This window comes from Homo sapiens, chromosome 17 (genome assembly GCF_000001405.40).
Source record: "Homo sapiens chromosome 17, GRCh38.p14 Primary Assembly".
In the NCBI taxonomy this organism is placed as follows: domain Eukaryota; kingdom Metazoa; phylum Chordata; class Mammalia; order Primates; family Hominidae; genus Homo; species Homo sapiens.
The window spans coordinates 29869667-29897351 of NC_000017.11; the positions used below are offsets into that span (position 1 = coordinate 29869667).

Consider the following 27685-nt stretch of genomic DNA (forward strand, 5'->3'; position numbering starts at 1 on the left):
CCCTTGTGAATAAGACCCCCTGATTATTGCCAAAGAAAAGAGTTCCTCTGAAAAGAAAATTGCAGGAAAGAATAAGCTGCTTTTGACAACGGCTTTTTCTCATAAACCATATGAAGTGCAGGAAGGTCGCCTGCAGAAATCAGTCTGTGTTGATCTCTGCACAGAGTGCAGGCCCAGTTGAAATCAGAACTCTCCTCATAGGCAGTAGGAATAGATACTAAATCATAGGTGTTTATGATAGTCATTGGCCTGATCCTAGAAAAAAACCTGGAGTTTAGGCATGGACTTCTTGCATGGGATATTGGTCGGTACTATTTTTTTTTTCAGGTTTGGTTTTAGGATAGGACCTTGGGTCCCATCCTAGCTTTATGTCTATTAAAAATAAAACTATTCCCTTTGGGCCCGCAATTCTATTTCTAGGAATTGATTATAATTATGTTAAATGACATTTTCCCAATGTTACTCATTGCAGCATTTATTATAATAACGATATCCTGGAGACTGGTTAAATACATTATGGTGTATCTATATAATGGAATATTATCTGAAATAAATAAAAACAAGGAAGTTTTTGATGTACTAATATGGAAATATTTCTAAAGCAGAATAGGTAAAAAAAAAAAAAGCAAAATATGCAATATTGTATATAGTATGTCACCATTAGTGTAAAAGAGAAGAATGTGTGTGTGTATGCTTGCATGTCTATGCATGCAAAGAGACAAAGAAAACTATTAATATTGTTTGTGAAGAGGAGAACTGGATGGCCAGGGTACGAAAGTAGAGGATGACTTCATTATATACCCTTTATGAGGTTTTGACTTTTGAACTTTGTAAATGTCTTACCTAGTTTAAAAAATTAAACAAAAATAAATTTTAAAATCGAATAATAACAAAAGAACGTCTTTAGCCTTTTAGCAGTAAGCAAGTCCCAGGAAAAACCAGATTTGATTAAACTCTGACATGTGAGTGAGGATACTGACAAGTGTCACACAGGCATCTACTGGGGTCTGTGTGAACTTGTTTGGAGATCTGGAATACTGATACCATAAATCTAAAATCTGTACATGAAATCATTCAGACACTGATTTAGCAAATTTCTACTGAACTACCATGCCTTCATTGTCTATTTGATAAAAATAAGAGTTTTCTCTTAGAGTTTTTCTCTTCATAATCTGTAATTTCTACCTCAATACAAAACAAACAGGCTTTCTTTTAGATGGATATGATACAATTGAAGTCTGCACACCCCAAAGGTCAGAATGGAATCTTTCATGAGTAAACTCTAATTGCAGACAAAGACTCTTCTATATATGACAACATCATACAGGGCCAACTGAAGCAGTACTAAGACTTTTTGAAGTTGTTATATTCCCTTAAGCATTTCTAAAACTTTTCACATGAGAAAGTAAGGAAGCAAAATATGGTATTTTTGGAATGAAACTCTGGCTAACAGGGTTATGGGGCATCTGAGAAGTCACGGGATAGGTCTAACTTTCTCAGAGGGGAGGCTGCAATTGTTTTTTTTTTTCTCTTTATTTCCAACATCTGCTCTTAAAATTAGTTCTGCACAAATGTTTGCAGATACAGAGCAGCTGGCAGTCTTGCCTGCATTTTGCCCATTGGTGGATTGTAAGGAAGTCACTGAAGTAGGGCTATTGAATTTTCCATTTCTGTTCCAGTGTTTTCAGAGAACTGGCAAATTTATGTTCTGGAACATTGGACTCAGAATGTTAACATCCTACTGAATACTGTTTAGAGCTTGAGATATTCATAGCAGAATTGTAAGTTTACATCTAATCTCTCAAGACAACAAGATTTGAAAATATACTCTCTTGCAGCCATTTGTAGGCAATTCTTTTTCATGTCAGTGTGGAATAAAGATACACTGTTCTATTTATATTAGTGCTTTCTGATTCATTTGATTTTTTAAAATAAATAAGAAAATAAATCATAAAAATAAACATGCCCTACTTAATTAATAAAAAATGCAAAATAAAACAAGCTCCACTTTCATCTTTCAGACTGGCAAAGATAAGAGATTATAAATGTTTCCAAACCTGGGAAAAGTGAAAGAGGAACTCTCACATACTAATGGCTGGGAGTGTAAAATAGTAAAATTTTTCTGAAAGTAATATGACATTGTGTCAAAAATCTTAAAGATGTTCATGACCTATTAGTCGATTACAGAATTTAAAGAAATAGAGAGGTGTATAAATATTTATACAAAAATATTCCCTATTTTTTCTTATATTACATATATCAGCTCAAATGTTCAACAACAGATGAATAATTACATTGTAGAACACTGAAATGAGTTACTGTCCTTAATACAACATAGGGAACTCTTATTTCAGCCAAATCCTTTAATAAGCCTGATTGATTTTGTTAAATGGAAAAACACTGGTGGAAAGCAGTTGTCTATTAGACATTATGATTGCTCTTTGTTTTCAAAGTTATTAAAGGGTTAAATTGTTTCTTTTGTATTATGCACATGTTTGTTTTTAAACTAACTCCAGCTCTAATTCTTGAAAATGGAGAGTTTACAGCTTTCAATTTGTTTTACAATCCCATGGAATTGGTGACTATTATTAATATTACTCAGTGGCCATAACAGCACAGTATAACATCAACATGAACTCTTGGCTCCCATTCAAGAATCAAAATAGTAATATTAAAAAGAGTGTATATCCCTATTCCTAGAGACTACATTAACAAAGAAAGAAATCTCCCTCCCTCCCAAAAGAGAATAATGATATTTACAAAAGGTTAAGTGGGTACAGGAACAATAACTAAAGAAGGCAGAGAAGTCCTGGCATGGTGGCTTACGCCTATAATCCCAGCACTTTGGGAGGCTAAGGCGGGAAGACAGCTTCAGGCCAGGAGTTTTAGACCTGCCTTAGCAACACAGCAAGACCCCCATCTCTACAAAAATAAAAAATAAAAATAAAAAAAAGGCAGAGGAGCTAGCGGTCTCGTAACAAGGTGCTATGGAGTACAAGAGGAGGGCTTATAGGTGGATATTCCTGGTAGTGTAAAAAGTATTCTGGGGGCCGGGTGGGGTGGCTCACGCCTGTAATTCCAGCACTTTGGGAGGCGAGGCAGGTGGATAGCTTGAGTCCAAGAGTTCGAGACCAGCCTGGACAGCATGGTGAAACCCCATCTCTACTAAAAACACAAACATTAGCTGGGCGTGGTGCCGCGTGCCTATAATCCCAGCTACTCAGGAGGCTGAGGCATAAGAATCACTTGAACCGGGGAGGCAAAGACTGCAGTGAGCCGAGATCACACCACTGCACTCCAGCCTGGGCAACAGAGTGAAACTTGGTCTCAAAAAAAAAAAAAGTATTTTTTGGTACAGTAAGGTGAAAGTAATAGAACTCTGAAGTGCTTCATGTTAGAAAGAATAATTTTTAAAATTAACTTTGGTGAGTTTTAGAGCTACGGAGTTAACAAGGCAAGCAAGCCAACCTGCAAGCAAAACAAAATATCCACAGTTACTTACGGGTTACCTAAAAAGCCAAGAGAAATGGAATTGGGTAGGATTGGTTTTAATATGACTTTTAAAACAAAAAATCTTTAAGATGTACATCTAGCTCAAAAATCTCCAAAGAGGCCGGGCGCAGTGGCTCACACCTGTAATCCCAGCACTTTGGGAGGCTGAGGCAGTAGATCACCTGAGGTCAGGAGTTCGAGACCAGTCTAGCCAACATGGCGAAACCCCATCTCTACTAAAAATACAAAAACTAGCCGGGCATGGTGGTGCACGCCTGTAATCCCAGCTGCTCGGGAGGCTGAGGCGGGAGAATCACTTGAACCCGGGAGGTGGAGGCTGCAATGACCTGAGCTCGCCCTGCTGCACTCCAGCTTGGGAGACAGAGCCAGACTATGTTTAAAAAAAAAAAAAATTCCAAAGAAACACATGGAACAAACATATGGAGACAAGAAATATAAAAAACAAAGCCATAAATCCAGAAGAAAGGTTGAGCTGTAGCATTATCACCTACCAAGGCAAACATCAATCAACTTTTACTATTGATATAGGACATAGGGCCTGAATAGAGCAAATTTAAATTGGAAATCCCCATCCAAGGGAAAGTTTCCTTCCATTTTCCATTCTGTTTTTAGAAGAGGTTATAGACAAGAACAGAAATTGCTATCAGTGACTGACTGACTTACTTAAACAAGCTTCTAGGGAAAGTTCTTGGCAAATTAGATATTTGGTTGAGTTTCCTCCACCTTCTACATTTATTTTCCCTTGAGAGGGAAGTGTTCAAAATAATGTTTGGTTTCCAGAAAAGTTTATTAATAGGCTAAAGAAAGATATTTTATTAAAGGGGGTTTTCAGGCTGGGCGCAGCAGCTCATGCCTGTAATCCCAGCACTTCGGGAGGCTGAGGTGGGTGGATCGGATAAGCTCAGGAGTTTGAGACTAGCCTGGGCAACATGGCAAAACCCCATCTCTACAGAAAATACAAAAATTAGCTGAGTATGGTGGTGCGTGCCTGCAGTCCCAGCTACTCAGGAGGCCAAGGTGGGAGGATCGCTTGAGCCTGGGAGGTGGAGGTTGCAGTAAGCCAATTGTGCCACTGCACTCCAGCCTGGGTGACAGAGCAACACTCTGTCTCAAAAAAATGGGGAGGGGGTGGGTGGGTTTCAGGTTAACACATTTAACTTACAAAATAAATTTGGTTTTATAAATAAATATTTTGATATGGTTAGGCTTTGATATGGGTCCCCACCCAGATCTCATCTTGAATTGTACTCCCTATAACCCCGATAAGGGAGAGACCAGGTGGACTTAATTGAATCATGGGGGCAGTTTCCTGCATGCTGTTCTCATGATAGTGAGTGAGTTCTCATGAGATCTGATGGTTTTATAGGGGGCTCTTCCCCATTTTGCTTGGTACTTCTCCTTCCTGTCATCTTGTAAAGAAGGTGCCTTGCTTCCCCTTTGCCTTCCACCATGATTGTAAATTTCCTGAGGCCTCCCCAGCCATGCTGAATTGTGAGTTGATTAAACCTCTTTATAAATTACCTAGTCTTGGGTATGACCTTATAGCAGCATGAGAACAGACTAATACTTTAATTATTTACAAATAAATAATTAAATTGCCTTTATGAGCTGTGAAAAGAACATGGAGATGCAGAATTCTCTGTGATTGTCAGATAACATCTAAATCAGTCAGAAAATTAAGTTAATTATAATGCTGCAGATTTTCAAAAGATTGGGCTGGTCCTGAGCTCTCTTTTCTCTCTCTATAACTTTCCCCCAAGTGATCCCATTAGTACCAGGACTTTAAATATCAACTATTTGCCGGTGAATCCCAAATGTACAGATGCTCCTCAACTTACAAGGCTCAGTTCTGATAAAGTCAAAAAAATCATAAAGTCATAAAATCATTGAGTCAAACCATGGTAAGCTGGAGACTGTCTGTATATCACTCTCTCTAAACTCTGAACTCATATATTCAACTATGTGTCATCTCCAATGACAGTCTCACAGTCATCTGAAACTTATCATGTTAGAACTATACTCCCCACTTCAACTTCCATTCTCTCCCCATAAGCCTGCCCAGGACTAGTATTCCTTATCTCAGAAAACAATGCAAACATACACCTCAGTTTCTCTAATCAGAAATCTAGAGTGATCCCTGACCCTTTGCCTCAAGCCTCCTGTTCAGCTTATCAGTAAGCCCTGTAGGTTCTATATCCAAAATATGTCTTAAGTTTATCTAACTCTTGTCATCTCCTCTTGAGTATCACCTCTTATCTGCAATTGCCTCCCTACTGGCCTCCTTCTTTCCATCCTTATCTCCTATAGTCTCTTCTCCACACAGCATCCAAAGCCATCTTTTGAAAGCACAAACATGGTCACTCCCATGTTGAAAACCTTTCAGTTGTATTCCCATAGTTCTTGGGGAAAAAAATCAAAACTTCTTACTACAGTCTGTAAAGCCTCACATGATTTCATCCTTATCTACTTCTCCATAGTTTCCTCATTCAGCCCCACTACATTATGATCCGGCCACATTGCCCTCCCTTCAACCTCCTCAAACATGCCAAACTCTCTCCCACCTTGGGGCTTTGAATATGCCTTTTGTTTAAATGACTCTTTTTCTTTTACCCCATGCCTGGCTCCTACTTATTCTTCAAACCTCACTCGGTATAACTCCATCATGAAGGCCTTGCCTAACATTTAATCTATGTACTGCTCCCTAGTTATTTCAGTCATAGAATTATAATTTGTAACTACGAATTTGTACACATGCTTATAATGAAAACTATAAACCACTGATGAAAAAAATTGAAGAGGACACCAAAAAAAAAAAAAAAAAAGGAAAGATATTCCATGTTCATGGATTGGAAGAATCAATACTGTGAAAATGTTCACAGTACATACACAAAGCAATCTACACATTCAATGTAATTTCTATCAAAATACCAGTGACATTCACAGAAATAGGAAAAACCCTAAAATTTATACAGAACGATAAAAGACCCAGAATAGCCAAAGCTATCCTAAGGTAAAAAGAAAAAAAAAAAAAAAGGAGGAATCATATTACCTGACTTCAAATTATACTACAAAGGAATAGTAACCAAAACAGCATGCTACTGCCATGAAAATAGACACATAGACCAATGGAACAGAATAGAGAATCCAGAAAGAAATCCACACATCTATAGTGAACTCATTTTTGGGAAAGGTGTCAAGAACAAAATTGGATTATTAGATTTTTTTTCCTATAGAGTTGTTTGGAGCTCCTCATGTGTTCTGGTTATTAATCCCTCGTCAGATGGGTAGTTTGCATATATTTTCTTCCATTTTGTGGGTTGTCTCTTCACTTTGTTGATTGCTTTCTTTGCTGTGCAAAAGCTTTTTACCTTGATGTGATCCCATTTGTCCATTTTTGCTTAGGTTGCCTGCGAGTTAAACCTCAAGAACATACATTGGGGAAAAGACAGTCTCTTCAAAAAGTGTGCTGAAAAACTGAATATCCATATGCAGAAGAATAAAACTAGACCTCTATCTCTCACCACATAAAAAATCAAACATAAATGGATTAAAGAATTGAATCTAAGACCTCAAACTATGAAACCACTACAAGAAAACATTGGGAGAACTCTCCAGGACATTGGACTGGGCAAAGATTTCTTGAGTAATACCCCACATGCACAGGCAACCTAAGCAAAAATGGACAAATGGGATCACATCAAGGCAAAAAGCTTTTGCACAGCAAAGAAAACAATCAACAAAGTGAAGAGACAACCCACAAAATGGAAGAAAATATATGCAAACTACCCATCTGACGAGGGATTAATAACCAGAACACATGAGGAGCTCCAAACAACTCTATAGGAAAAAAAATCTAATAATCCAATTAAAAAATGGGCAAAAGACTTGAATAGACATTTCTCAAAAGAAGACATACAAATGGCAAACAGGCATATGAAAAGGTACTCAACGTCACTGATTATCAGAGAAATGCAAATCAAAACTACAATGAGATATCATCTCATCCCAGATAAAATGGCTTTTATCCAAAAGACAGACAATAATGAATGCTGGTGAGGATGTGGAAAAAAGGGAACCCTTGTAAACTGTTGATCGGAATGTAAATTAATACAACCACTATGGAGAACAGTTTGGAGGTTTCTCAAAAAACTAAAAATAGAGCTACCATATGATCCAGCAATCCCACTGCTCAGTATATACCCCAAAGAAAAGAAATCAGTATATCACAGAGGTATCTGTACTCCTATGTTAGTTGTGGCACTGTCTACAATAGCCAAGATCTGGAAGCAACCTAAGTGTCTACCAACAGATGAATGGATAAAGAAAATGTGGCCCTTATATACAATGGAGTACTATTCAGTCATTTAAAAAATGAGATCCTGTCATTTGCAACAACATGAATGAAACTGGAGGTCATTACTTTAAGTGAAATAAGCCAGGCACAGAAAGACAAACATCTTGTATTCTCATTTATTTATGGATCTAAAAATCAAAACAATTGAACTCATGGAGATAGAGAAGGATGGTTAACAGAGGCTGAGAAGAGTAGTAGAGGGGTGAAGGGGAGGTAGGGATGGTTAATGGGTACCAAAAAAAAAAAAAATAGAATGAATAAGACCTAGTATTTGGCTGAGCAGGATGGTTCACATCTGTAATCCCAGCACTTTGGGAATTTGGCAGACTGCTTGAGCCCAGGAGTTTAAGACCAGCCTGGGCAACATATTAAGACCCTGTCTCTACAAAAAAAATTAAAAAATTAGCCAGGCATGGTGGCTTGTGCCTGTAGTCCCAGCTACTTGGGAGGCTGAGGTGGGAGGATTGCCTGAGTCCAGGAGGTCAAGGCTGCAGTGAGCCAAGATCATGCCACTGCACTCCAGCCTAGGTGACACAGCAAGACCCTGTCTCGAAGATAGCACAACAGGGTGACTACAGTCAATAATAACTGTACCTTTTAAAAGAACAAAGAGGCCGGGCATGGTGGCTCATGCCTGTAATTCCAGCACTTTCAGAGGCCAAGGAGGGCGGATCACCTGAGTTCAGGAGTTCGAGACTAGCCTGACCAACATGGAGAAACCCCATCTCTATTAAAAATACAAAATTAGCCAGGCGTGGTGGTGCATGTCTGTAATCCTAGCTACTCGGGAGGCTGAGGCAGGAGAATCGCTTGAACCTGGGAGGCAGAAGTTGCAGTAAGCCGAGATTGTGCCATTGCACTCCAGCCTGGGTAACAGGAGCAAAATTGCGTCTACTGCTACAGATAAAGCAAGCTTCATGAGGGAATTATGCATGGTTTATTCATCAATGCATACTTATTGCCTAGCATAGTGTGTGACACATAGTTGATGCTCAAAATATATGTTTAGAATAAATAAATCAATGGATGAGATTTTAAAAAAAACAATTGGAGAAATAGATGGAAACAAAGATCAAATAAGTATAGACTACAAATCTCCCTTACTACCTTATTCAGCACTCATATTTCTTCTAGATTTCCACTACAGTAGATATTCCATATTAAATAATGAGTTACTAGTCATAGTATTACCATAAGGCATATGCAAATAAAAGAAAATCCAGCTGTGCCCTACTAAATATACTATGTTATGATTGTAATAAGCAAATTAATGGTATAATATGAAACTCAAGATCTCAATTGTTTAATTTTCTGAGCTATATAAAAAATGGATAGGCAGAGAAACAAGCTCAAAGCAGCAAATGAATAACAGAAAAAGTCTGGTTTAAGATTCATTGATATTCTGAAGTCAATCACAGGAAAACTTAACAAATACAGACAGCATTGTGTTATTTGTCATAATTATACAAACTGCACAAATTGGTGGCTAAATTACATGATTTCCCCTCACATCTCATGTCTGTACATTTTACTTTTTAAAATGTGTCCAGAAGTATATGGTTTTAAAATTCCATGGTAAAAAGTCCAAGAGCTGAAATATGATGACCATATTTTCCCAACAAAAAAATCAGAATGTTGACCTAATTTAAACTAAGAATATTGAAAATCTGTAATATAGTTTAAGTATTATCATTTCCATATTATGGATATACACGGACTCAGCCATGTTATCTATCCAAGGTGAGTGATAATTGTGAGAGGTAGAATCAGTATTCAAATAGGTTTTTCTTATTCAGAGGCTCATGCTGTTTCCACTTCTCAGGAACAGTGCTTTCTGCTGTTTTTTTTTTTTTTTTTAATAAACTTTATTTTTTAGAGCGCTTTTAGGTTCACAGCAAAATTGAACAGAAGGTAGACAGATTTCCTATATATCCCCTGCCTCCACACATGCATATAGCCTCCCCCATTATCAACATCTCCGACCAAAGTGGTACATTTGTTACAATTGATGTGCTGCTCATTTTCTCATTCATTCCAATATGAACTGAATACCTACTAGGTGTTTTTGTGAACAAATGGATATTAGAAAGAAAATGCAACTCATCCCTAAAGTTAATAAATACTCCCCAAATCAAACAAAACCTAAACTGAGGGAACAGACCACCTGAAACAAAGAAGATCAACTGTCTTTTTCTTTGCAAAGTCTGCTCTAACAGCATGTGACATCCATTTGAGGCTTCCAGCCAATCAGAAAATCATCAAAACAAGATGCAATGTTTCCAAATCCCAGCCAAAGCTCATGAAATTAAGCTGGTGAAAGCAATGCCACAAATTTAATGTTGGGCATACTAAATTTTGACACCTAAAGATGTAAGAGACTAGAATGTTAAAAACATAAAAGATGTTTTCAAAAATCTATTGTTATATTTTGCTCATGAGACTCAAATAAAAAAAAGAGCAAACCAATTGCAAAGACAACTCAATATACTGTATACACATGCTGCTAGGATGAACAGCCTTCTAGTCATTCATTCGATTATCCATCCATCCATCCATTATCCATCTAGCTAGCTGGCCATCAAACATCATTGAGTGCCTACTACATGTTTGGCACTCTGCTGAACAGTATACAGGATAAAGTGCAGTGACACAATCACAGCTCACTGCAGGCTCGAGCCCCACCGGGCTCAAATGATTCACCTCAGTCTGCCGTGTAGCTAGGACTACAGGCACGTACCACCCATGACCAGCTAATTTTTTCTATTTTTTGTAGAGACAAAATATGTTGCCTAGGCTGGTCTCAAACTATGTTGCCTAGGCTGGTCTCGAACTCCTACACTCCAGCAATCCAACTGCCTTGGCCTCCCAAAGTGCTGGGATTACAGGCACAAGCCACCACACCAGGCCCATTTTTTTCTTTAAACCAGAGGTTGAAAACTGGAAGCTCACAGGAAGAATCCTCCCTGTAGAACTGTTCTGTATAACTTTCATGGTATTTATTTTTAATTAATCTGATTTTTAGACAAGAGAGATACACAGAGACTCCAACAATTCCCTAAGTCTTATATAGGCCCAATTCATATATTCATGCTTCCCTCCTGGCTTTGGTAAGCAAATGAGTTCTGACTCTTGCTTTGCACTGTGCTGCCTTCTCTAATAGTACAGGCTGAATTTAATTAAGAAAGTTACTTCCCTTCCATCCCAATTCTCAAAGGCAAAGGTTTTTTCTTCTCCCTGAGAACACTACCTCATATTTGAGTAATACTTTCATAAAAATAACATTTTTTGTGTAGGACATTTTATAAGGATGCAAAGATAAATGAATTTGCTCATGGTTACAAAGCCAATTAGGGCTAGACCTGGGGATTCCTGGCTCAGTTCAGGAGTCTTATTAATATTAAGCCTTGAGCCCAAAGGACCAAACAGCATATCCCACAACAATTCATTTATGGCTCAATTCTTTCTTTTCAGAAAAATATTTATATCAAACTTAAATGAACATATTGAATTCTGAATAACATCTTTCATAGGTATAAGGAAATCTAAAAGATACAGAGTAGTATCTGTGTGCTCCTTATATATTCTAAATTGTGATTAATGTCTTCAAATACAAACATGTTAATCAATTATCACAAATGAAATGTAAGAATAACAAAGTGACTAAAGAGTTTTTAAAGAACTAAAGACTAGAAACTAGAATTTGATACACTGCCAGCATCTATACATATGTGAAGTATTGAAGATTTCCCAAACCTCAGTTATAGTAGCTATAAACTAAGTTTGTTATCATTGGCCACCAAAGAACAGTAGGATAGTTTTTCAGTGAAAAGGAGAAATCAAAATCCTTATATTAAATGGAGTTAGGGAATTGTGAACAATCTGTAGTGCCTATTTTCCCTCCTGTCTTTCTTTTGTTTGTTCTTTCATTCTTTCTTCCTTTTCTTCCTTTCTTTTCTCTCTCTCTTTCTCTTTCTTTCTTTTTTTCCGAGACAGAGTCTTGCTCTGTCACTCAGGCTGGAGTGCAGTGGCACAATCTTGGCTCACTGCAACCTCTGCCTCCCACGTTCAAGCAATTCTCCTGCCTGAGCCTCCCGAGTAGCTGGGATTATAGGCACCTGCCACCGCACCCAGGTAATTTTTGTATTTTTAGTAGAGATGGGGTTTCACCATGTTGACCAGGCTGGTCTCAAACTCCTGACCTCGTGATCTGCCCACCTCGGCCTCCCAAAGTGCTGGGATTACAGGTATGAGCCACCACACCCAGCCCACCACTGCGCCTGGCCCTACTTTGTTAATAAAATGAAATAATTATGAAAAGTACACGTGGGAGATGAAATCAGAACTTGAAAATTTCCCCAAAACTTTAAAATGAACTCAAACTTTTACAGGCTTCAAGGAGAAAAACAAACAAACAAACAAACATCTCCAAACATTTCAATTGAGGAAAAAACTGCATTATTTGCTTCTTAAGATGTACAGGAAGTCATTTGGTTACAGAACTCAATGGCTGAAAGCTTCAGGGAGATACAAAGATTGATACATAGCTGTCCTATTATACAATGCCAGTCTTCTAAAATGAGAATGTAATTTTTAATATTTGGAAAATGATGTCTGGAGCATACTCACTGATGTCTGGAGCATATTACTGATGGAAGTGTAAACTAATACAACTTTTCTAGAAAGCAATTTGGCACACTTACCAAAACCTTTCAAAAACTCACAGCCTTTTCTCTAGTAAATCCCTTTTGATGTGCATATTTCTTTCTCCCACTATCATCACCATCAAAAGAATCCAACAAATTTGAAATCATCAAGGATTTATAACTGGCCTTAAGATAGTAGCCTGGACTTTTCCCTGCACCTCATTATATACTCAAGGTAGCATTCTATTCTCACATGGAGCTTTACAATACATGCTTTTAAATAAAGATGCTCTGGCCGGGCGCAGTGGCTCACACCTGTAATCCCAGCACTTTGGGGGAGGCCTAGGCAGGTGGATCACAAGGTCAGGAGTTCGAGACCAGCCTGGCCAAAATGGTGAAACCTCGTCTCTATTAAAACTGCAAAAATTAGCTGGGCGCAGTGGCGGGCACCTCTAATCCCAGCTACTCAGGAGACTGAGGCAGGAGAATCGCTTGAACCCGGGGGGTGGAGGTTGCAGTGAGCTGAGATCGCACCACTGCACTCTAGCCTGGGCAACAGAGCAAAACTCCATCTCAAAAATAACAAATAAATAAAATAAAGATGCTCCCAGCTGGAAGTCTACCAAGTTATCATCAAAGACAATTTTTTTCTTTTTAAAAATTTTTCTGTAGAGACGGGGTATCACTATGTTACTCAGGCTGGTCTTGAACTCCTGGGCTCAAGCGATCCTCTCGCCTCAGCCTCTCAAAGTGTTTTTATTAAAGGCATGAGCCACCATGCCCAGCCCAATTTTTTTCTTAATGGCCAAATCATAATCTTATGCCTAGAATCCTTTTGTGATTCATAAGCATGGTGACTGGGTTTTCATGCTTTTGTGTGAGATGTGCCTCCCTTAAACCTTGTTACAATATCAGCACATTACCTGTCTGATGTGAAAAGAAATAAAATAGAAAAGAAAAAAGAAAAAAAAAACTCTTATGCTTAGTGACAAGTTGAATTCTGGTATGGTAAAAGGCTTCTATTAAAAACTGGTATTAATTTTTAGAGTTAGTAAGTTCAAAGAATTTAAACTCTGAATAATGAGTACCTTTTATATTTTGGGTTATATCTTTGTAATTCACACATTTTCCAAATCCTATGTTAGGTGTCATTTTATTGAGTGCCCACTATGTGCTTAACAGCTGTAAAAAGAAGAAAGAATTTTAAAAGAATCAGAAGACACATTATCCTATCGTGTTTCAGAAAGGTTTCTGCTAATCTCTATAGTAGTCAGGGCAACAGATTAGTCTTAACTATACATGACATACTATAATATCTAAATATAAGTTATACTGTATATAAATAGAAATTTTTATCTATGCATGATGAATTGATAAAACTGCACATTGGATACACTTTATAAGTTCTCCTGGAGTAAAGAATGGTAATGTCATCCTGTATAGTAAGGTTAAATCATAACAGGAAATAGATATTTAAGTCACAGAGGATGAGTTAATTCTCTTCCTGGACAGCCTAACTTCTCCTGTTCCAGACTAACTCCTTATTTAGTGTCTTAGACCAGTCCCCTGAGACCTGTTCCTATCAATTATCTCCTGTCTCACTTTTATCTTCTATCTCTTTCCCCACTGCCATTACTTTGGTTCATTTCCTTTAGCACAGAAACATTTTCAAGTCTACTGCATACTTTAAAAACAAGAAAAATATTTGACCTTGCATTCCTCCATCTAGATATAATCCTTTTTCTCCTTCTATTCATGAGAACTCTTGTGAAAATGAATACTCTATTTTTACTGTTTCTTTACATACATATATATATGATGAGTGAGAGAGGTTACTATGTTGCCCAGGCTGGTCTCGAACTCCTGGGCTCAAGCAATCCTCCCACCTTGGCTTCCACAAGTGCTGGGATTACAGGTGTGAGCCACTACACCTGGCCTATATTCACAATTTGTTTGATCAATTTTCTCTTCAACTTACCTCAATCAGGCTTCTCTGTCCCACCTCTCCACTGAAACTACTGTAGCCAAAGTCACAGGTGGCTTCCACACTACCAACTCATAACACTTTTCTTTGTATTATCGAATTTCTCAGTTGCATTTGACAGAATTGGACCATTGATTTCTTCCTAAAACTTTTGGCACACTATTTTCTACTGGTCTTCCACAAATTGCTTTCTGATTGCTCCTTTCAGTCTGTCAAATTCTCCTTTTCTACTTTTACCCCTTACATATGGGGGCTTTCAGGGTTCTGTCCTTGGCATCTATCTCCATGGGCATTCCTTGAGTGATGTCATCTCTCTCACAGCTTCAAGAGACTACAAACATTACTTTAGGATATTTTCATCACTGGTCTTCTTGGATATCTTACTGCCTAATTGGAACATGTTTGCTAACATATTCCACAGGATTACATACCTCAGCTGGTCCGCAACTGAACTCATCTTCCCACTAAAGCTTTACTTCTTGTACTTTTGTTAATATCATCTGCCATCTACTCAGCCCAACCAAGCTCAAAGTCTTCAAGAGTTAACCAGTCTTCTATCTTTATTTCACCTCATAATCCATCATCAGGCCTCTACCACTTCACTTTTTATATATTTCTGTAATCTATCTCATCCTGTCTATCCCAACCACAACTGCCTTAGTTTGAGTCTATGTTAGTTCCAGGACTTGGCAACTGCAACAATCCACTCTAAATTGTAACTCTGACCTTACATCTCTACATAAAACTTTTATGTTCCTCACTGCCAAAAGCAGTATTTTTTGTGTCAGGGTTACCTGTGGATGCTTGTAAAGATGCATATTCCTGGGTCAATCTGCATTTTTACATATTTTTCAACTTATTCTGATGCAATGTAAAGCCTGAGTACGGGCTAAAGTTTAAGTTTAAATTTCTTACCAAGGCATAAAAAGCCTCCAAGGTCTTGGCTCTTGCCTACTTAGTTCTCTAATCTAGCACCTCCCTTTTTCTCCCATCACGTGCTTTATTATCTAGAGTACTGAATTCATTTACACTTATCCAAGTGTCTCTGGCTTCCATGCTTTTGCTGTTCCTCTTTCTTCTCACCAAGTCTTATGCAACCTATTGCATATTATGCTTTTTTTCTATCAAGCAGGTACTAACTTTTAACTCTTATTAACCAAAGACTGGGGTTTCTTGCTATTGTATCATAAAAAAAAAAAAAAAAAAAAAAATCAGGTCTTTTTCCCCAGTTCCTGACACAGAGCTCCTAAAACCCTTGGAATTTCCTGAGTGACACGAGTGATAGAAGCATCTTTAGTTTTAAGGAAGTGTCTCTTGGCTGGCCCCTAGATAGCTTTAGGATGGGAGCTAGTCACCAGAAACACCAATCCTTGATTAGAAGCTTGTAATTTTCAGCTCCATCACATAACCAGGGAAGGAGTGGAGATTGAGTCAGTTACCAATGACCAATGATTTAATCAATAATGCTTACTGATATGGTTTGGGTATGTACCCACCTAAATCTCATCTTGAATTGTAGCTCCCATAATTCCCACATGTGATGGGAGGGAGCCAGTGGGAGGTAATTGAATCATGGAGGCTGGTTTTTCCTGTGCTGTTCTGGTGATAGCAAGTCTCACGAGATCTGATGGTTTTATAAAGTGGATTTCCCCTGCACATGGCTCTCTTGCCTGCCGCCATGTAAGATGTCCTTTTGCTCTTCCTTATTCTTCCACCATGATTGTGAGGCCTCCCCAGCCATGTGGAACTGTGAGTCCATTAAAACTCTTTCCTTTATAAATTACCCAGTCTCAGGTATGTCTTTATTAGCAGCGTGAGAACAGACTAATACAGTAAATAGGTACCAGGTAGTGGGGCACTGCTATAAAGATACCCGAAAATGTGGAAGCAACTTTGGAACTGAGTAGCAGGCAGAGGTTGGAACAGTTTCGAGGACCCGGAAGAAGACAGAAAAATGTGGGAAAGTTTGGAACTTCCTAGAAACTTGGAGGGCTCAGAAGACAGGAAGATATGGGAAAGTTTGTAACTTCCTAGAGACTTGTTGAATGGCTTTGACCAAAATGCTCATAGCGATATGGACAATAAGGTCCAGGCTGAGGTGGTCTCAGATGGAGATAAGGAACTTGGGAACTGGAGCAAAGGTGACTCTTGCTATGTTTTAGCAAAGAGACTGGTGGCATTTTGCCCCTGCCATAGAGTTCTGTGGAACTTTGAACTTGAGAGAGATGATTTAGGTATCTGGTGGAAGAAATTTCTAAGTGGCAAAGTGTTCAAGAAGAAGCAGCGCATAAAAGTTTGGAAAATGGCCGGGTGTCGTGGCTCACACCTGTAATCCCAGCACTTTGGGAGGCTGAGGTGGATGGACCACCTGAGGTCAGGAGTTTGGGACCAGCCTGACCAATATGGTGAAACTCTGTCTCTACTAAAAATACAAAAATTAGTCAGGCATGGTAGCGTGCACCTGTAGTCCCAACTACTCGGGAGGCTGAGACAGGAGAATTGCTTGAACCCAGGCGGTGGAGGTTGCAGTGAGCCAAGATCATGCCACTGCACTCCAGCCTGGGCGACAGAGAAAGACTCCATCTCAAAAAAAAAAAAAAAAAAAGTTTGAAAAATTTGCAGACTGATGATGTGATAGAAAATAACCCATTTTCTGGGGAGAAATTCAAGCCTGCTGAAGAAGTTGCATAAGTAACAAGGGGCTGAATGTTAATCACCAATTATAGCGCTCCTTCAACTTCTATTACACAGTTCTGAAGACACTTTACCAAGAGTATGTGGTATCCTTAAGTGCTAAAGCTGGACAGGACCTTAGAGATTAAAGATTTTTTTCTCGGATAAGAAAACCAGGACTAGAAAGATGAAAAGATTGACCAGAGCCAGAGTTAAGTGGTAGCAAAGCCAGATGAATGGCTCTCCTATCGAGCCAATGTAATTTCTTCAACATCATGCAGCTTATACTACTTTGGGGCCACCTATCTTATTTAATTATATGCCTATAGAGGATATTTTGTTAACAACTTAATACTTGAGATCAGTAGTAGTGTTATAAAAGCAAGCTATTAGCATAGAACACAATAAAAAAAAATCTTGGAGCAGGCATAGAAATTTTTGTACATCTTAGATATTATAACTACGAAATTATTTAGTGAGGATCAATAGAGGATAAACTTGAGCTTTAGTAAGAATAAACAAAAACAAAACAGAGTACTTTAGGTGTATTTCCTAGGTCCTATTTCCTAGACCCATCAAAAATGACATGGAATTCAAGACTGGAGTTTAAGACAAGAAGGGTAAGGCAGGCCAATCTTTGGTACGTGCTTTCAAGACAAGGGTCTCTGAAGTCGGATTGCCTGGATTCTAATCCTGTCCTACCCCTTATCTGTGCCTCTATTTCCTCATCTGTAAAATGAGGATGGTAATAGTACACATCTTCAGAGGGTGGTTGTCAGGACTGAATCAGATCATATTGATAAAGAGTTCAGAATAGTGCCTAGCACAGAGTAAGCCAATGTTGGTTGTTCTTATTTCTTTCTCTTTGAAGAGCAGAAACCTGGTCATCATAGTAGAGGGAACAGAGCTACTTTTAAATGGTCTTCTGCAGTTCAGGTTAGGGAATGCTATTACTAAATACTAATTTTAGAAAATAAATAAGTGCTTTCAGCTTATTTTAATGTAATTTAATGTGAAGAAAACATTTCCTTATCTTTTATAAAAACTAAGATGACCTTACAGAACACAATATAGTTTTTGCAGATTAGTATATGTGAAGATTATGAAAGAAACTATGCTGAGGCCAGGCGTGGTAACTCATGACTGCAATCCCAGCACTTTGGGAGGCCAATACTGGAGGATCACTTAAGCCCAGGAGTTTGAGACCAGCCTGGGCAATGTAGTGAGATCTCATTTCTACAAAAAAATTTAAAAGTTAGCCAGGCATAGTGGTACATGCCTGTAGTCCCAGCTACTCAGGAGGCTGAGGCAGGAGAATTACTTGAGCCCAGAAGGTTGAGGCTGCAGTGAGCCATGATCATGCCACTGCATTCCAGCCTGACCGAAAGAGTAAGACCCTGTCCCATCCACCCTACCCCCAGAAAGAAACTATGCTGAGACAGAGACTGCACTTGACTCTACCATGGAAACTAACAGATAGTGGTGAGAAAAAGCCTAAAATCACGAAGTCTAAGACTGAGGAATCTTTATGGTTCCATTGGATGGTTGGAAAGAGATTTGGAGAGAATCAGGCATTCAGTGTATTTCTTTCCCACTGAAATCCCAAGAAAGCAGAGTTGGAGTTTTATGTATGAGACTTAGTGCCATAGCATGGACAGCTTGGAAACTGGACAACTCTCTGGGATGGAATCCGTATAAGTGTAAAGCAAAAACCTAGTAATTTTTATAGACCAAATATTTTGATGGTTTATATTTCTACAGTATTAACAGCAACCTTAACCATACAAACAGTAGAAAAAGTCAGTATAAAGAAAGTGACAGCCAGCTGCAATGGCTATGCCTGTAATCCCAGCCCTTTGAGAGGCTGAGGTGGGAGGATCACTTTAGGCCAGGAGTGTGAGACCAGCCTGGGTAACATGGCAAAATCACATCCCTACAAAAAACTTAAAAAAAAAAAAAAAGCCAGGCGTGGTGGCACACTCCTGTAGACCAGCTACTCAGGAGGCTGAGGTGGGAGGATCACTTGAGCTCGGAGGGTTGAAGCCATGATAGTGCACCACTTCACTCCAGCCTAGGTGAAAGAGTGAGACACTATCTCAAAAAAAAAAAAAAAAAAAAAAAAAAGGAAAGAAAAGAAAAAAAGACTACTATGTTTCTAATTTAAAATAAAATTAAAGGCATTGTATATAAAATTTGAGTTTAGTTTTCTTAAAAAAAAATGGTGCTAAGACACCTGCAAAGCCACATGCAAACAAATACCATATACAAAAATTTACTCAAAATGGATCAAAGGCCTAAATGTAAGAGAAAAATCATAAAACTGTCAGAAGAGTCTGGGCATGGGGGCTCACACTTGTAATCCCAGCACTTTGGGGGGCCAAGGCAGGTGGATCACTTGAGGTCAGGAATTTGAAACCAGCCTGGCCAACATGGTAAAACCCCGTCTCTACTAAAATACAAAAATTAGCTGGGCATGGTGGCACACACCTGTAATCCTAGCTACTTGGGAGGCTGAGGCAGAAGAATTGCTTGAACCTGGGAGGCAGAGGTTGCAGTGAGCTGATATTGCGCCACTGCACTCCGGCCTGGGTGACAGAGACAGACTGTCTCAAAACAAACAAACAAAAAACCAAAAAACTCTCAGAAGAAAACATAGGGGTAAATCTTCATGATGTAGGATTTGCCAAAGAATTCTTAGCTATGACACCAAAAGCATGAACAACAACAACAAAATAGGTACACTGAACTTCACCAAATTTAAAAATTTTGTGCTTCAGAGTACACCATAAAGAAAGAAAAAAGACAACCCAGAGAATGGGATAAAATATTTGCAAATCACATATCCGACATGGGACTTGTATCTGGAATACATAAAGAACTCTTACAACTCAATAATAAAAAGACAAAAAGTCCAATTTAAAAATGAGCAAAGGCCAGCCTGGGCAACACAGTGAGGCCCCATCTCTACCAAAAAAAAAAAAAAAAAAAAAAAAAACCAGCCAGGTATGAGATCAGACACCAAGACTGGGGCAGGAGGATGGCTTGAGCCCAGGAGTGTGAGGCTGCAGTGAGCTGTGATTGTTTCACTACACTCCAGCCTGGGAAACAGAGCAAGACCCCAGTCTCTAAAAAATTTTTTTAATTAAAAAAATAAAAAATGGGCAAAAGATCTGAATAGATATTTCTCATGTGAGGAAGATACACAAATGGCCAGTGAGCACATGAAAAGATGTTCAACATCATTAGCCACTAGGGAAATGCAAACCCAAACTGCAATGAGATAATACTTCATATTCACAAGAATGGCTAGAATCTGAAGTTAGGTTACAACAAGTGTTGATGAGGATGTGGAGTAATCAGAGCCCTCATACACTGCTGGTGGGAATGTAAAATGGTGCAGCTGCTGTGGAAAACAATCTGGCAGTTCATCAGTTAAAAAGAGTTATCATATGCTCTAGCAATCCCACTCCTAGGTATATGCCCAAGAGAAATGAAAACATATGTCCATACAGAAACTTGTACACAGATGTGTACAGCACCATTCATAATAGCCAAAAGACAGAAACAACCTAAATGTCATCATTTAGGTGGATGAAAGGATAAAACACTATTATTATTTGGCCATAAAAAGGAATGAAGTGCTAACACAGGCTATGACATGGATAAGCCTTGAAAACATTATGCTAACTGAAAGAAGCCAATCACAAAGACAACATATGATCCCACTCATAGGCCAGTCCAGAATAGGGAAGTTATAGAGACAGAGATTAGTGTTTGCTTAGGATGAGGTGAGGTGTTGGGTGGGATAGAGTGGTCATAGATAAAGGGGTTTCTTTCTGAGGTGATGAAAATTTTCAAAAACTGACTGTGGTGTTGGGTGCATATATCTGTGAATATACCAAAACCAATGTATTAACTGTATAGCATTTGAATTATATTTCACTAAAGCTGTTCGCTCTGTCACCAGGCTGGAGCGCTGTGGTGCGATCTCGGCTCACTGCAACCTCTGCCTCCTGTGTTCAAGTGATTTTCCTGCCTCAGCCTCCCGAGTAGCTGGGACTACAGGCACACGCCACCAGACCCAGCTAATTTTTGTATTTTTAGTAGAGACGGGGTTTCATCATGTTGGCCAGGATGGTCTTGATCTCTTGACCTCGTGATCTGCCTGCCTCAGCCTCCCAAAGTGCTGGGATTACAGGTGTGAGCCACCACGCCCGGTCTGAAAAAAATCTTTAAAAGATCATCCTGTGAGAAGCACCTGAACATACACTCCTCTGATTTGGGTTCTAACCATGGACACTTTTGCTACAGTCAGTGTAAGGACCAGCCTGGATCAGGCCTAATCACAGGCTGGATTCCCTGCACCAGTACTTTTCATATGTTAGTACTTAACAGAATCACCCAAGAGCCTGTTAAAAAACACACAGTCCTGACTATCTCAAGAGAGACTGAGTAGGACAGAGATGAAACCCACAAATCTACTATGCTTAAGTTCCCACATGAATCTAGTGCAAGTGGTTAGCAACCACATTTGCTACAAATAGTTCTCTGCACTGTTATCTAGACAAAACCCATCAGATTTAGCCTTCACTTCTAAATAAATTTTTTTTTCAAAGCAATGAAAGAAAGAAGCAACAAAAGCACAGATTTATTGAAACGAAAGTACACTCCATAGAGTGAAAGCAGGCTCAAGCAAGCAGCTCAAGAGCCCTAAATAAATTCTAAATTCTAAAATGTTGAATATTATGTCATAGTAATAGAAAAAAAAAAACAAAATAGCCTTCAAACTTCTGACAGGTGAAGAGCAGACCAAAGGTAATTGCAGAATTTCCAGACTTCTCATTTGACCAAAAGGGCTATTCAATTATAGACAAAAGAAACATAATTAGCTAAAAAAGTACAGAGCAGAACCGCATCATTATATAGTGACCCACTATAAATCAAAAGGTCTCAGTACAGACCACACCACTAAGAATATTTAATCTTGCACAATTTTATGGTTATAAGTCAGAACCTTATGTTCTGACTAGCCCATTAGCTTTCCAGATTCTAGTTAAAACCCATCTTCAAACTGAAGAGATTTTGTATAAACAATATATAGCTGAAGATATCTACCACTAAGAAAGAAGCTTTATAAAATTAGGAAAATGGCTTTTAGAATTTACAAAAGAAATTCTAAAATGCACAAATGAAGTAATAGCCGACTTTCTTTTTTTTTTCTTTCTTTTCTTTCTTTCTTTTTTTATTAAAAAGAGACAAGGTCTTGTTCTGTTGCCCAGGTTGGCCTTGACCTCCTTGGGCTCAAGCAATCCTCCTGCCTTATAGTCTCCCAAGTAGCTGGGGACTACAGACATGTGCCACAGCATTTGGCTAATAGCAAACATTTTAAATAGTAAATACATATAAATTAAAAACATCTGAAAGTTTCCAAAGCAGCCCCCACCCCCACCTCACCTATAAAAGGAATTCTAAGTGCAGAAAAGATGCCCCAAAGTTTATAAACTGCTTCCCTGGTGTGGATGAGGGTGTTGCTCTTTAGACCTTCAGGTTATTTACTCTTAATTCCTGAAAAGTCTGGTTTTCTAGTTGGAAGCAGATAGGAAACAGCAAAGTAAAAGTAAAAGCTGCTAGAGGAAGGCACAATGACAGTAGGGAATGTCAACAGCCACCACTGTGACAATGAAGAGGAAGATTCAGTAAAGCTATACAAAGTAGACCCAAGTTGGTCTGAAGGTTGTGGGTCACTGTTAAGCTCATTAACATTGTCTCGACCATGACTGACTAGCTTAAATTTTTTTTTTGTAAATTAAAATAAAATAAAAAGTAGACAAAAACAATAAACATAACAATCTTACTAGGAAAAGAAGTTCCTAAGGGCATTTCTGTACTAGAGCTCACTGTAATATTATCCAACCTTCCAAATCTCTCTCTCTCTGTCCTCTGGAACCTCTCTCCTCCCATTTCCTCCAGAAACTTGCTCCATGAATCATTCCCTCTTCCCTACCCTCTTCCCGTACCCTTTTCTTTCCTAATGATCACTTCCCCTCAGCAGAAAAATATTCTCAGATCTCTTCCAAATAACCAAAAAGAGCCCTTCTCTCACCCTAAATTTCCCTCTAGCTACTCTTCCTTTCCTTGATACTAGGTTTTAAAAGAACAGTCTCTACTTGCTACTTTCCTTTCCTCACCACTAATTTACCTTCTAACCTGCTGCAACTGGTCTTCTGATCACCCACTCCACCAAAGTTGATCTTACGAAAGTCACTAGTATCCTAACTGCCAAAGTCAATGGACTTTCTACTCTTCCTTCTCTTCACCTCCTCAATACATCTGACCCAACAGTGCACACTTCCTTCCTGAAACTCCCTCTTTGCTTAGAGTCTGTGATGCCACACTCACCAGAATTTCATCCTAACTAGAGTACCTAGTCCTGGAATGTCAATGGAATTTAGGCAAAAAAAAAGGGGGGGTGGGGGAGAATTGCTATAGTCTGAATGCATCCCCCCAAAATTGATATGCTGAAACTTAATCACCAACATGATAGTATTAAGAGGTCAGGCCTTCAGGAAGTAAGTCATGAGGATAGAGCTCTCGTGAATGGAATTAATGACCTTATACAAGAAGTGCCATATAACTGTTCACCCGTTTTCCCCTTTTGCTATATGAGGACACCACATTTGTTCCTTCTACATGAGGATGCAGCAAGAAGGCTTTTCCCAGACACCGAATCTGCTGGCACCTTGTCTTGGACTTCCCATCCTCCAGAACTGTGAGAAATAAATTTCTATTATTTATAAATTACCCATTCTGTGGTATTTTGTTATAGTAGCAGGAATGAGACTATGACAAGGGTACATGATCAAATACTTTTGGGAAATGTGGTATTAAAGTTAAGTATTTTTCTTTACTACAGATTTTCTCAGATCTTCAATATACTGAGGTGTATTGTGACTCTACAAGATGAGTTTCTCCAATGTTTTCCCAAATTTCTTGACTATTAAATTCTTCCATCCCTTTTAAAGAACTATCTTAAATAACAAATTGAGTTGGGAAACACATTTTGGGTTAACATTGCTCTTGATGTTCTTTTTCAGTCTTATTTGCAGGATTTTCCTTCATTAGTCTCCCAAATGTCCCATTCCCCAAAAGTCTATCTTTAGGCTTCTCTCATCTCACACCTTAGTCACCTTTTAGTTCTCCACTTGTCTCATGTTACGTTCTCCATAAGTGATCTCATTCATATCCTCATGGCTTCAGTACAGCTTTAGAGCCTATAAGTTTCTCTGCCACTTACTGTGTAAGCTTGGATCTTGGTTTCTTAATTTATAAAATGAGAATAATAATAATTCCTAAGTACTAAATGACATATATAAAGTTTCTGCCACAGTACCTGACATATTTATGCAAAGGCTCAATAAATGGTCACTATCATTTTTTCTTTCTCCAGCCTAGATCTCCTTGCTGAGTAACACATGTATCTCTTCAGCTTGGGACTTTCCTTTGCTTGTTTTGTATATAGTCATCTCTTGGTATCCACAGAGGATTGATTCCAGGACCCCTACAGATATCAAAATCCACAGATGCCCAAGTCCCTGTTATAACATGGCATAGTATTTGCATATAAGCTATGCACATGCTCCTGTACACTTTAAATCATCTCTAGATTACTTACGATACCTACTTCGATGTAAATACTATGTAAATAGCTGTTATACTATTTTTTAATTTGTATTATTTTTATTATGGTATTGTTATTTTTATTGGGGTTTTCCCAAATAGTTTCAATCCACAGTTGGTTGAATCTGCAGATGCAGAACTTCCAGCTACAAAGGACTAACTATTTACCTCCAACTCAAGATGTTCACCACCCACTCCCACCACTTAAACTGGCCCCAGTATTCTTTACCTCAGGGTATGGAACCACAATCTACCTAGATGCCTAAATCTGGAACACTGAAGCCATATTCTAGACCCTTCCTTCTCAATTACCATCCTTCCACCTTCCCCCAATTAAGTAACTAAGTACATCTAGCTCCACCCCCGCCCCCCCAATACAGCTTCAGATGTGCAAATCTGATCATACTTAAATTCTTCCATATTCCTCATGGTTTTCAAGACAAAATTCAAACTGCTATCACATAAGGCTCTTCATGATCTAGCCTCTTGAGTCTCATCTCCCATCATGCCCCTTCTCTGACATAGACTCTCCACTCCAACCACATAAAATCACATGTATTTCTACAAATGGCTATGCTGTCATGTTTTCATATATTCTATTTATAGATAGATGTATTTTATACATTCTATTTTATTTATAGATCGCAGAATGTATAAAATACATTATACATATATTTTATATACATTATATTATATATTATATATATTTTATAAATACATTTTATATATACATTATATATACATTTTATATATGAAATATATAAAATATATTTTATATATACATTTTATATATGAAATATATAAAATATATTTTATATATACATTTTATATATGAAATATATAAAATATATTTTATATATACATTTTATATATGAAATATATAAAATATATTTTATATATACATTTTATATATGAAATATATAAAATATATTTTATATATACATTTTATATATGAAATATATAAAATATATTTTATATATACATTTTATATATGAAATATATAAAATATATTTTATATATACATTTTATATATGAAATATATAAAATATATTTTATATATACATTTTATATATGAAATATATAAAATATATTTTATATATACATTTTATATATGAAATATATAAAATATATTTTATATACACATTTTATATATGAAATATATAAAATATATTTTATATACACATTTTATATATGAAATATATAAAATATATTTTATATACACATTTCATATATAAAATGTATTTTATATACACATTTCATGTATAAAATGTATTTTATATACACATTTCATGTATAAAATGTATTTTATATACACATTTCATGTATAAAATGTATTTTATATACACATTTCATGTATAAAATGTATTTTATATACACATTTCATGTATAAAATGTATTTTATATACACATTTCATGTATAAAATGTATTTTATATACACATTTCATGTATAAAATGTATTTTATATACACATTTCATGTATAAAATGTATTTTATATACACATTTCATGTATAAAATGTATTTTATATACACATTTCATGTATAAAATGTATTTTATATACACATTTCATGTATAAAATGTATTTTATATACACATTTCATGTATAAAATGTATTTTATATACACATTTCATGTATAAAATGTATTTTATATACACATTTCATGTATAAAATGTATTTTATATACACATTTCATGTATAAAATGTATTTTATATACACATTTCATGTATAAAATGTATTTTATATACACATTTCATGTATAAAATGTATTTTATATACACATTTCATGTATAAAATGTATTTTATATACACATTTCATGTATAAAATGTATTTTATATACACATTTCATGTATAAAATGTATTTTATATACACATTTCATGTATAAAATGTATTTTATATATACATTTCATGTATAAAATATATAAAATATATTTTATAAAAATATTGCATAGCTTATATGCAAATACTATGCCATGTTATAACAGGCACTTGGGCATCTGTAGATTTTGGTATTTTATAAAATATATTTTATTTTAAATATATTTTGGCATTTTATAAAATACATTATAAAATGTATTTTATACATTCTTTTATCTATATGGTCCATTCAATCCCATTCCCACTTTATTGCTGGTCTTTTTCATTTCATTTTAATTACATGATATTCTAATCCTATCCTTTAAATTTTCTATGTATCATATGTAAAATGCAGCCTACACATTTAAATATTCATTCTCAACCTATTTAATATTACAAAATACAAGCAATTCATCCACTATGCTTAGGTAAAATTATCAACTCCAGAACTGTCTTATTTTAGTAATGAGTAAGTCTGTAATTAAATGAGATTAACAGTTCTTCACTGACATCTATTTATTACCTATTTATCATATTCCAGACACTAAGGGGGGTACGAAAATGAACAAGAAAGGTTCCTGACCTCAATCTAATGTGATAGGGTGACAAAAATACTACTGTAATGCTATAAAGACATACATATATGGGTGTGTATATATATATTTATATAATTTCTATGAGAACAAAGAGGAATAAATAACTCACTTAAGTAGTTACAAAAGAATTAGAACAAGCTCTAAATAAAACGAGCTCCTGAAGGAAGCACTAAACATGGAAAGGAACAACCGGTACCAGCCACTGCAAAAACATGCCAAATTGTAAAGACCATCGAGGCTAGGAAGAAACTTCATCAACTAACGAGCAAAATAACCAGCTAACATCATAATGACAGGATCAAATTTACACATAACAACATTAACCTTAAACGTAAATGGCCTAAATGCTCCAATTAAAAGACACAGACTGGCAAATTGGATAAAGAG

The 27685-nt window shown here is 37.0% G+C and overlaps 1 protein-coding gene and 1 non-coding gene across 10 annotated transcripts in view; one reads left to right on the forward strand and one right to left on the reverse strand.

The window, feature by feature from the left end:
* The window catches only part of SSH2 (slingshot protein phosphatase 2), a 304291-nt gene that overhangs the window by 243729 nt on the left and 32877 nt on the right, over positions 1-27685 (reverse strand). The window lies entirely within an intron of this gene.
* LOC124904117 (small nucleolar RNA U13) lies at positions 13340-13443 on the forward strand. The gene has a single exon (XR_007065996.1). It is a non-coding gene; the product is annotated as a small nucleolar RNA U13 (small nucleolar RNA).